General features: G+C 38.5%; 1 protein-coding gene across 14 annotated transcripts in view; it reads left to right on the top strand.

Moving 5' to 3' along the window:
• Positions 1 to 13,112, top strand: part of SLC9C1 (solute carrier family 9 member C1) — a 153,319-nt gene that overhangs the window by 52,169 nt on the left and 88,038 nt on the right. For all 14 annotated transcript variants that reach the window (NR_135297.2, XM_011512718.2, NM_001320531.2 and 11 more), the window contains 2 exons: positions 2,042 to 2,208; positions 10,562 to 10,687. Coding sequence is in view for 13 of the 14 variants with exons in the window: in XM_011512718.2 (XP_011511020.1) it covers positions 2,042 to 2,208; positions 10,562 to 10,687 (293 nt within the window). In the remaining variant the exon portion in view is untranslated. The remainder of the gene's footprint in view (positions 1 to 2,041; positions 2,209 to 10,561; positions 10,688 to 13,112) is intronic.

Here is a 13,112-nt window from a genome sequence, read left to right as displayed (position 1 = left end):
AATTATTTCTCAAGGCTGGTGTGGAAACATTTATTTCCTGGGTTTTCTTCTAGGACTTTTATAATTGAGGTCTTACATTTAAATATTTAATCCATCTTGAGTAAATTTTTGTATATAGTGAAAGGTAGAGGTCCAGTTTCATTGTTCTGCATACAGCTAGCCAGTTATCGCAGCACCATTTACTGAATAGGGAATCCATCCCCCATTGTCTGTTTTTGTCAGCTTTGTCAAACATCAGATGACTGTAAGCATGCAGCTTTTCTTCTGGGTTCTCTATTCTGTCCCATTGAGCTATGTATCTGTTTTTGTACCAATACCATGTTATTTTGGTTACTGTAGACTAGTAGTATAGTTTGAAGTCAAGTAGTGTGATGCTTCTGGCTTCGTTCTGTTTGCTTAGGATTGCATTGGCTATTTGGGCTCTCTTTTGGTTCTATGTAAATTTTAGAACTGTTTTTCTCTAATCCTGTGAAAAATGACATTAGTAGTTCAATAGAAATTGTGTTGAATCTGCATATTGCTTTGGATAATGTGGCCATTTTAATGATATTGATTCTTTCAATCCATGAGCATGGAATGTTTTTCCATTTATTTGTGTCATCTCTGATTACTTTCACAGTGTTTTATAGTTCGCCTTGTAGAGATCTTTCACCTCCTTCGTTAGCTCTATTCCTAGATATTTCTCTTTTTTTGTGGCTATTTTCTTCTTTTTTATTTTTAAAATGTTTGTTGGTACATAGTAGGTGTATATGTTTGTGGGGTACCCGAGATGTTTTGGTACAGGCATGCAAAGTGAAATAAGCACATCATAGGGAATAGGATATCCATCCCTTCAGGCATTTACCCTTTGAATTACAAATAATTCAATTGCTCTTTAAATTATTCTTAAAATGTAAAACTTTAAAAATGTTTAAAATTTAAAATATGACTCTTTAAATTATTCTTAAAATGTAAAGGTATTATTGACTATAGTCACCTTATTGTGTTGTCAAATAGTAAGTCTTATTTATTCTTTCTATATTTTTGTGCCTGTTAACCATCCCCACCTGCCCCCATCCCCCCACCACCTTTCTCAGTCTCTGTTAACCATCATTCTACCCTCTATGTCCATGAGTTAAATTGTTTTTATTTTTAGATCCCACAAATAAGTGAGAATATGTGATGTTTGTCTTTCTGTGTGTGGCTTATTTCACTTAACGTAATGATCTTCAGAAAACACAACAGGTGCTAAATTTCTTAGGAAGCTAGAAACTGGATGTATTCTAGAACAAAAAGATAGCTCAAGAGATTGGAATCTTAAAAGATAATGCAGATAATTTATCATATGTGCTTAACTGGCTCATGAGGTTATGGAAGCTAAGTCCCAAAGTATGCATTCCAAAGGCCTGAGAACCAAGAGCCAATGGTACAAGTTCCAGCTAAAGTCTGAAGGTAGGAGAAGACTGAAGTCCCTGCTCAAAGACCATAAGGCAGAGACAACAAATTCTCTCTTGTTCAGACTTTTGTTTTATTGAGGCCTCCAACAGATTGGATGAGGCCCACCCACATTGGGAAAGACAATGTACTTTACTCAGTCTACCAATTTAAATGTCACCCTCATCCAAAAACACTCACAGACACACCCAGAATGTTTAACTGAATATATGGGCACCCTGTGGCCCAGTTAAGTTGACAAATGAAACTAACCATTATACCTCTGTTTCTTTGTTTCCTCATATATCAAACTGGGAAAAAGGACTCACCTCAAAAGGTGGCCAAATAACCAAAAACTTAATGCATGAAAAGTGCTGAAATGCACTTTTGCAGAATATAGTAAGCACTCAATAAACATTAGCTATTACTATTACATGCCTCACCTTTTGTGAGAAGAAATATGAAAGCAGAAAATGTTTAACTCTTTAGTATTCCCATTATTAAACAGTTTATGTTGAAATTTTATTTAAAGATTAGTGACAATAAGTTAAAAACAAAAGTAAGCTTTCTAACCCATATCAAAATTGTGGTGTTTCTACTATTTATCAAATGTGTGTTTGTATCAAAGGTCTTCGTGATGCCACATCAACAAAATATAAATCGGTTTGTTGCACATTTCAACACTTTCAAGAGCTAACCAAGTCTGCAGCCTCTGCCCTTAAATTTGACAAAGATCTTGCTAATGCTGATTGGAACATGATTGAGAAAGCAATTACACTTGAAAACCCATACATGGTAAGCAAGTAATATCTTTTTTATTGCTTTAATGCAGATTTGATTATACTGAAGTATAAATCAGATCATAAATATTAATTCACAAGTTTTAATATTTGTAATTGATAGAGAAGTCATGTTAATAACTCTATTTAACAAAGTAGTAAGGGGGAGTGTTAAGGAACTTCATGATCACTGTGGGGCAAAGTAGAAGTCATAACCCCTTTGAATATATATGTTTAAAATATATGTTTTGGGGGCATGGTTCCAAGATGGCCAAATAGGAACAGCTCCAGTGTACAGCTCCCAGCATGAGTGATGCAGAAGACGGGTGATTTCTGCATTTCCAACTGAGGTACCAGGTTCATCTCACTGGGGCTTGTCAGACAGTGGATGCAGGACAGTGGGTGCAGTGCACCCAGTGTGAGTTGAACCAGGGCGAGGCATCGCCTCACGCAGGAAGCGCAAGGGGTCAGGGAATTCCGTTTCGTAGCCAAGCAAAGCTGTGACAGATGGCACCTCGAAAATTGGGTCACTCCCACCCTAATACTGTGCTTTTCCAATGGTCTTAGCAAACAGCACACCAGGAGATTATATCCCGCACCTGGCTCGGAGGGTCCCACACCCACGGAGCTAGCTCATTGCTAGCATAGCAGTCTGAGATCAAACTGCAAGGTGGCAGTGAGGCTGGGGAGGGGCGCCTACCATTGCTGAGGCTTGAGTAAGTAAACAAAGCCACCAGGAAGCTCGAACTGGGTGGAGCCCACTGCAGCTCAAGGAGGCCTGCCTGCCTCTGTAGACTCCACCTCTGGGGGCAGGGCATAGCTGAACAAAAGGCAGCAGAAACCTCTGCAGGCTTAAATGTCCCTATCTGACAGCTTTGAAGAGAGTAGTGTTTCTCCCAGCATGGAGTTTGAGATCTGAGAACAGACAGACTGCCTCCTCAAGTGGGTCCCTGACCCCTGAATAGCCTAACCGGGAGGCACCCCCCAGTAGGGGCAGACTGACCCCTCACATGGCCGGGTACCCCTCTGAGAGGAAACCTCCAGAGGAACAATCAGACAGCAACATTGCCTGTTCAGCAATATTCGCTGTTCTGCAGCCTCTGCTGCTGATACCCAGGCAAACAGGGTCTGGAGTGGACCTCCAGCAAACTCCAGCAGACTTGCAGCTGAGGGTCCTGCCTGTTAGAAGGAAAAACAACAAACACAAAGGACATCCACACCAAAACCCCATCTGTACATCACCATCATCAAAGACCAAAGGTAGATAAAACCACAAAGATGGGGAAAAAACAGAACAGAAAAACTGAAAATTCTAAAAATCAGAGCACCTCTCCTCCTCCAAAGGAACGCAGCTCCTCACCAGCAACAGAAAAAAGCTGGACAGAGAATGAATATGACGAGTTGAGAGAAGAAGGCTTCAGATGATCAAACATCTCCAAGCTAAAGGAGGAAGTTCGAACCCATCGCAGAGAAGTTAAAAAACTTGAAAAAAGATTAGACGAATGGCTAACTAGAATAACCATTGCAGAGAAGTCCTTAAAGGACCTGATGGAGCTGAAAACCATGGCACGAGAACTACGTGACGAATGCACAAGCTTCAGTAGCCGATTCAATCAACTGGAAGAAAGGGTATCAGTGATGGAAGATCAAATGAATGAAATGAAGTGAGAAGAGAAGTTTAGAGAAAACAGAATAAAAAGAAATGAACAAAGTCTCCAAGAAATATGGGACTATGTGAAAAGACCAAATCTACGTCTGATTGGTATACCTGAAAGTGACGAGGAGAATGGAACCAAGTTGGAAAACACTCTGCAGGATATTATCTAGGAGAACTTCCTCAATCTAGCAAGGCAGGCCAACATTCAAATTCAGGAAATACAGAGAATGCCACAAAGATACTTCTCGAGAAGAGCAACTCCAAGACACATAATTGTCAGATTCACCGAAGTTGAAATGAAAGAAAAAATGTTAAGGGCAGCCAGAGAGAAAAGTTGGGTTACCCACAAAGGGAAGACCATCAGACTAACAGCTGATCTCACGGCAGAAATTCTACAAGCCAGAACAGAGTGGGGGCCAATATTCAACATTCTCAGAGAAAAGAATTTTCAACCCAGAATTTGATATCCAGCCAAACTAAGCTTCATAAGCAAAGGAGAAATAAAATCCTTTACAGACAAGCAAATGCTGAGAGATTTTGTCACCACCAGGCCTGCCCTACAAGAGCTCCTGAAGGAAGCACTAAACCTGGAAAGGAACAACCGGTACCAGCCACTGCAGAAACATGCCAAATTGTAAAGACCATCGATGCTAGGAAGAAACTGCATCAACTAACGAGCAAAATAACCAGCTAACATCATAATGACAGGATCAAATTCACACATAACAATATTAACCTTAAATGTAAATGGGCTAAATGCTCCAATTAAAAGACACAGACTGGCAAATTGGATGAAAAGTCAAGACCCATCAGTGTGCTGTATTCAGGAAACCCATCTCACGTGCACATAGGCTCAAAATAAAGGGATGGAGGAAGATCTACCAAGCAAACAGAAAACAAAAAAGGCAGGAGTTACAATCCTTGTCTCTGATAAAACAGGCTTTAAACCAACGAAGATCAAAAGAGACAAAGAAGGCCATTACATAATGGTAAAGGGATCAGTTCAACAAAAAGAGCTAACTCTCCTAAATATATATGCACCCAATACAGGAGCACCTAGATTCATAAAGCAACTCCTTAGAGACCTACAAAGAGACTTAGACTCCCACACAATAATAATGGGAGAAATTAACACCCCACTGTCAACATTAGACAGATCAATGAGACAGAAAGTTAACAAGGATATCCAGGAAATGAGCTCAGCTCTGCACCAAGCGGACCTAACAGACATCTACAGAACTCTCCACCCCAAACCAACAGAATATACATTCTTCTCAGCACCACACTGCACTTATTCCAAAACTGACCACATAGTTGGAAGTAAAGCACTCCTCAGCAAATGTAAAAGAAGAGAAATCACAACAATCTCTCAGACCACAGTGCAATCAAACTAGAACTCAGGATTAAGAAACTCACTCAAAATCGCTCAACTACATGGAAACTAAACAACCTGCTCCTGAATGACTACTGGGTACATAACAAAATGAAGGCAGAAATAAAGATGTTCTTTGAAACCAATGAGAACAAAGACACAACATACCAGGATCTCTGGGACACATTCAAAGCAGTGTGTAGAGGGAAATTTATGGCACTAAATGCCCACAAGAGAAAGCAGGAAAGATCTAAAATTGACACCCTAACATCACAATGAAAAGAACTAGAGAAGCAAAAGCAAACACATTCAAAAGCTAGCAGAAGGCAAGAAATAACTAAGATCAGAGCAGAACTGAAGGAAATAGAGACATAAAATCCCTTCAAAAAATCAATGAATCCAGGAGCTGGTTTTTTGAAAAGATCAACCAAATTGATAGACCACCAGCAAGACTAATAAAGAAGAAAAGAGAGAAGAACCAAATAGATGCAATAAAAAATGATAAAGGGGATGTCACCACCACTCCCACAGAAATACAAACTACCATCAGAGAATACCATAAACACCTCTACACAAATAAACTAGAAAATCTAGAAGAAATGGATAAATTCCTCGACACATGCACCCTCCCAAGACTAAACCAGGAAGAAGTTAAATCTCTTAATAGACCAATAACAGGCTCTGAAATGGAAGCAATAATTAATAGCTTACCAACCAAAAAAAGTCCAGGACCAGATGGATTCACAGCCGAATTCTACCAGAGGTACAAGGAGGAGCTGGTACCATTCCTTCTGAAACTATTCCAATCAATAGAAAAAGAGAGAATCCTCCCTAACTCATTTTATGAGGCCAGCATCATCCTGATACCAAAGCCTGGCAGAGACACAACAAAAAACAAGAATTTTAGACCAATATTCCTGATGAACATTGATGCAAAAATCCTCAATAAAATACTGGCAAACCAAATCCAGTGGCACATCAAAAAGCTTATCCACCATGATCAAGTGGGCTTCATCCCTGGGATGCAAGTCTGGTTCAACATACACAAATCAATAAATGTAATCCAGCATATAAACAGAACCAAAGGCAAAAACCACATGATTACCTCAATAGATGCAGAAAAGGCCTTTGACAAAATGCAACAGCCCTTCATGCTAAAAACTCTTAATAGTATTGATGGGACGTATTTCAAAATAATAAGAGCTATCTATGACAAACCCACAGCCAATATCATACTGAATGGGCAAAAACTGGAAGCATTCCCTTTGAAAACTGGCACAAGACAGAGATGCCCTCTCTCACCACTCCTATTCAACATAGTGTTGGAAGGTCTGGCCAGGGCAATCAGGCAGGAGAAGGAAATAAAGGGTAGTCAATTAGGAAAAGAGGAAGTCAAATTGTCCCTGTTTGCAGATGACATGATTGTATATTTAGAAAACCCCATCGTCTCAGCCCAAAATCTCCTTAAGCTCATAAGCAACTTCAGCAAAGTCTCAGGATACAAAATCAATGTGCAAAAATCACAAGCATTCTTATACACCAATAACAAACAAACAGAGGGCCAAATCATGAGTGAACTCCCATTCACAATTGCTTCAAAGAGAATAAAATACCCAGGAATCCAACTTACAAGGGATGTGAAGGACCTCTTCAAGAACTACAAACCACTGCTCAACGAAATAAAAGAGGATACAAACAAATGGAAGAACATTCCATGCTCATGGATAGGAAGAATCAATATCGTGAAAATGGCCATACTGCCCAAGGTAATTTATAGATTCAATGCCATCCCCATCAAGCTACCAATGACTTTCTTCACAGAATTGGAAAAATCTACTTTGAAGTTCATGTGGAACCAAAAAAGAGCCCACATTGCTAAGTCAAACATAAGCCAAAAGAACAAAGCTGGAGGCATCATGCTACCTGACTTCAACCTATACTACAAGGCTACACTAACCAAAACAGCATGGTACTTGTACCAAAACAGAGATCTAGACAATGGAACAGAACAGAGTCCTCAGAAATAATACCACACATCTACAACTATCTGATCTTTGACAAACTTGACAAAAACAAGAAATGGAGAAAGGATTCCCTATTTAACAAACGGTGCTGGGAAAACTGGCTAGCCATATGTAGAAAGCTGAAACTGGATACCTTCCTTATGCCTTACACAAAAATTAATTCAAGATGGATTAAAGACTTAAATGTTAGACCTAAAACCATAAGAACCCTAGAAGGAAACCTAGGCAATACCATTCAGGACATAGGCATGGGCAAGGACTTCATGTCTAAAACACCAAAAGCAATGGCAACAAAAGCCAAAATTGACAAATGGGATCTAATTAAACTAAAGAGCTTCTGCACAGCAAAAGAAACTACCATCAGAGTGAACAGGCAGCCTACAGAATAGGAGAAAATTTTTGCAATCTACGCATCTGACAAAGGGCTAATATCCAGAATCTACAATGAACTCAAAGAGATTTACAAGTAAAAACAACCCCATCAAAAAGTGGGCAAATGATATGAACAGACACTTCTCAAAAGAAGACATTTATGCAGCCAACAGATACATGAAAAAATGCTCATCATTACTGGTCATCAGAGAAATGCAAATCAAAACCACAACGAGATACCATCTCATACCACTTAGGATGGCGATCATTAAAAAGTCAGGAAACAACAGGTGCTGGAGAGGGATGTGGAGAAATAGGAGCACTTTTACACTGTTGGTGGGACTCTAAACTAGTTCAACCATTGTGGAAGACAGTGCGGCAATTCCTCAGGGATCTAGAACTAGAAATACCATTTGACCCAGCCATCCCATTACTGGGTATATACCCAAAGGATTATAAAACATGCTGCTATAAAGACACATGCACACGTATGTTTACTGTGGCACTATTCACAATAGCAAAGACTTGGAACCAACCCAAATGTCCAACAATGATAGACTGGATTAAGAAAACGTGGCACATATACACCATGGAATACTATGCAGCCATAAAAAATGATGAGTTCATGTCCTTTGTAGGGACATGGATGAAGCTGGAAACCATCATTCTCAGCCAACTATCACAAGCACAAAAAACCAAACACTGCATGTTCTCACTCATAGGTGGGAATTGAACAATGAGAACACATGGACACAGGAAGGGTAACATCACACACTGGGGACTGCTGTGGGGTGGGGGTTGGGGGAGGGATAGCATTACGAGAGATACCTAATGTAAATGACGAGTTAATGGGTGCAGCACACCAACATGGCACATGTATACATATGTAACTAACTTGCACATTGTGCACATGTACCCTAGAACTTAAAGTATAATGAAAAAAAGAATCAAGAAATACCAAAAATTTGAAAATAAAATATATGTTTTATGTGTATGTTTAAAATATATATGTTTAAATTCAAAAGAGGAGGCTGTGTATTGGAGCTCCCTTTAAAAGACATCATAGGTCAGCACAGTGGCTCATGCCTGTAATCTTAACACTTTGGGAAGCCAAGGCAGGTGAATTGCTTGAGCCAAGCAGTTTGAGACGAACCTGGCAACATGCCAAAACCATGTGTCTATAAAATATACAAAAAATTAGTTGGGTGGTGGTGTGCATCTGTAGTCCCCGCTACTCGGGAGACTGAGGTAGGAAGATCACTCAAGCCTGGGAGGTTGAGGCTGTGGTGAACCGTGATTGTGCCACTGCACTCCAGCCTGGGCAGCAAAGAGATACCCTTTCTTAAAAAAAAAAAAAATATAATATATATATATATATATGTGTGTGTGTGTGTGTGTGTGTGTATGAAAGTGAACCTTAGAAAATGGCTAGTTTTTGACCAAATTGGGAGGGGTCAGGGGTCTTTGTTTATTTATTTAGGCTATTGTGTATCTAAGCATTTGCTAGACCTTAATTTATGGTTAAAAATATTTTCAATATAAAATAGAATTCAAAGCCAAAGTTTAGCTGTGGGAGATGTCACCTTCTGCTTCTGAGATATGCTTTAAGATATCTGCAGTCAGACTCATTCTTTTAAGAACACTCAGCACACTAATCAGTCATGGTTTCCCTAAAGGGAAATAATAAAAGTTGTCCTGGGGTCTTCACAGCTGCTGCACTTTTCCGTGTCCTACATCATGTCCAGTTTTCAATGGTTTTTACAATGTTTTTGTTTTTGTTTTTTTTGCAAAACACAATATGAGGGGCCAACTTCTGGGAGTGCTTAGGTGAGATAATTAGTCTCTATGAAGTAGAATTCTGAAAAAATCCATTTCATATCCACTGAACCAGTGCTTAAAGCTCCAGATAGGAATTTAGAACTGACACTTGTGCCTGCAGGAATACTGCCAGGATTTCTGGATGGAACAAGTACCATGTCATATCCAAAGATTTCTCTAGTAGCTTCCAATACCTGATTGTGAACTTTTGCTGACTTGTCTGCATCAGAATTATCCAGATAGTTTACTCAAAATATTGATTGAGTTTTCACCTACTCTCTGAAGATTTTTATGCAGGTGGTCTGAGCAGGGATCCAGGAATATTTTAAGTCCACTACCCAGCTAATTCTAATGCAGAAGCCAGTGTTGGGGCCACCACTCTGGTACTTGATCTGTTTTAGAAGGCAGAGGATCAAATGACTACATTCTCCTTTTTGTGATGCAAACATGAGGGATATTATAGTATTAAAGATAGAACACCAACCTTGGAATCAGAAAATCTGGCTTTATAGCCTAGCTTTCTCACTTAATAGCTTTGTAATTTTGAGCATATCATCAATTTTCTCTAAGCTTCAGTTTCTCATCTGTAAATTATTCATACTCCCATTTCCTTTACGTGTGTTCACTTTCTATTTTACATTAAGTATCATTTTAAAGCAGTGGTTGTCAAGCTTTAGCTGCAGCAAAATTTTCAAATGGGGTTTTAGAAACACAGATTGACGCCCACTCCTCCAATTATGATTCACTAGGTCTAAGGTGGGATCTGAGAATGCACGTTTCTAACAATTCCCAGGTGATTCTGATGCTGCTGGGAGACCACACTTTGAAAACTGCTAGTGTAAAGCATGATCATATATGTGATAGCTTTTTAAACTGTTAATAATGCCGTGTAAAAGTAAAGATATGATATAACTCCTCCCCGCAAAACTGACAATTATTTTACCTTCTATAACTGAGCAAATGATTAGGACATTTGAGCAAATGATGAGGATCTGAACATTTTTCTTATCTACCAGATTTGCTACCATTTTTCAATGCAAACTGGTACAAAAATTGCTTGTGGATTTTGCTAAACAATATGTTAATATTCATGTATTTTTTGTTCTTTTATTTATGTTTTATTTAGTTGAACGAAGAAGAAACAACAGAACATCAGAAGGTGAAATGTCCACACTGTAACAAGGAAATAGATGAGATCTTTAACACTGAAGCAATGGAGCTGGCCAACAGGCGTCTCTTGTCAGCACAAATAGTACTGTATTATTCTCTTTTGAAATTATGTTTGGCCAAAAATTATGTTGAAAAATTCCTCCTTTATAAAGACATCTTGATCATGCTCACTTAATAGATTGTTTACAAAGGCAAAGGGAAGTTTGACATTGTCTTAGGAATCTGCTTGATTGGAAAGAAAAAGAAAGAGAGAGAGGAAAGAAAGAAAAAGAAAGAAAGAGAAAGAAAGAAAGAAAGGGAGAAAAAGAGAGAGAGAGAGACGAAAGACAGAGAAAGAAGGAAAGAAAGAAATTCACTCACATTAACTTAAGTAAAGAGTGATTTATTTATGAAGAATTGGGAATTTGACAGATCCCAATTGTAGAAATTGCAACTGGGGTTAAACTTCAGATGTGTTAGGCAATCAGTTCTGTGATATTGCCCATCTCTGGATCCAAGCCAGTTTTTCATGTAATGATACAGCCAAATCCTCTAATAGCTGACTGAAGAGAGTATTATGTTTTCATTCAAATATTAGCTAAAAATTAGAGAAATGCTGTAGCACAGCAGCATACAAACTGTTGGAAATTGCTAATAGGCTAGTTTTCATTTTCTCTCCAGGTTGAAATAATCAAGATCTATTTGCCATGAATTGTCCTCTTAGGGTGTTCATATTGGCCCTTCCTCACTGCCTGTGAAGCTGTTGAACACTTCTCAGCTATTCCAGCCATGTAGGATTCCAATCACTCTACCTGCTCAGTCTAACTAGGGAAGTGGGAGATCTGTAGGGTATGATTGTTCTCTCTTCAACAGTAGTCTTAGCAGACAAGTTGAGTTTCAAAGGCAACTATTTTAAGGACATAAATAACTTCTTTAAGCAATTGAGGCCGTGCCATGAGGATGAAGCTAATGCCCACATGGTGCTTTATTCCACCAGCAGATTTTCCACTTGTCCTACCAAATTAGGTATTGCTATCCACAGAGTAATGACTAAGTTAACACAGAGGTAGCAAATATTCCTGCTAGCTCTTCCATGTTTCCTAAATCTGATGCTCCAAGGCCATGGTTCTGTAATGTAAATGGACAAGCTAGTCATCCTGGGTTCCCCTGGGAACTGCCTATGAACAGCTTCTGAGGCAAAAACAAAGGCAGGCTTTCTAAATATACCGAGTCAGCAGGAATGAGAGGAAAAAATTGTCAGTCAATATAAAACAATGGAACAGGATAGAGAAACATCTAGACCAGGATTTCAGAGTAGAAGAGGATCTGGAAACAATGAAGTAGGGCTAGTCCTGAGATAACCATAGGTGAACCTGAACAGCCAACCATGGCTTCTTTAAGCCACAACAATTGCTTCCTTAGAAAGCACAAAGGAGTATTTTACAAACATTTGTCTGTAACTGTCAAAAATGAGGTAGACTAACCAAAAGTATATATAATCTGCTATATAATTTAGGAAATATAAATTGCATTTCTATCTTTTCCTGCAGAAATTCCCCAAATCAAAAATTTTTCAATGAGCTAGAAAATAAAAACAGAATATTAAACACTAAATTGTGGAAATATCAACTAACAGCACATTTTGATCCTTCTCATTGCTCACACAACTTTTCTGGATAGTTTTGTTTCTCTATCTAAGTAATGTACTTGCTCACCAATTTTTGTAATATCCCTTCTAGCTGGACTCATGATCAAAGAATCTGCCACTGCCACCACCACCACCTTATTCCCCACCCCTATTGCCACTAATTCTTTATACACACACACATACACGCACACAATTTTCTCAGCCTTAAAAAAATCTATACACCCTTTTGCTTGATAATCTCTTTTTGTACATTGTGTTATTAAATTTTACCTTTTCAAACTAATATTTTATTCTAATATGAAAGGTAAATTTAGGGTCAAGAGGGTAATTTTTATTGCTGTTGTTTTAATTGACATATAATTATACATATTTATGAGGCACAATGTAATATTCTAATACAAGTATACATGTGTCATGATCAAATAAGGGTGATAAGCATATAGATCACTTCAAACCTTTATTGTTTCTTTCGGTTGAGAATGTTCAAAATCTTGTCTTCTAACTATATGAAAAAATACAATAGATTAGTGTTTACTATAATCACCCTGCAGTGCTGTAGAACACTAGAATTTATTCTTCCTATCTAACTGCAACTTTGTATCTGTTAACCAACCTATTCCTGCTAGCTCCCCTGTCCCCCTACCCTTCCCAGCCTCTTGGAGCCACTATTCTACTCTACTTCTATGAGGTCAACTTTTATAGCTTCCATATATGAGTGAGAACAAGCAGTATTTCTTTTTCTGTGCCTGACTTCTTTCACTTAACATAATGTCTTCTAGTCTTATCCATGTTGCCACAAATGAAAGCATTTTATTCATTTTTATGGCTCAATAGTATTCTGTTGTGTAAATATACGACATTTTCTGTATCCATTCATCTA

This window comes from Homo sapiens, chromosome 3, assembly GCF_000001405.40.
Source record: "Homo sapiens chromosome 3, GRCh38.p14 Primary Assembly".
In the NCBI taxonomy this organism is placed as follows: domain Eukaryota; kingdom Metazoa; phylum Chordata; class Mammalia; order Primates; family Hominidae; genus Homo; species Homo sapiens.
This window is presented reverse-complemented; position numbering and strand designations above follow the sequence as displayed.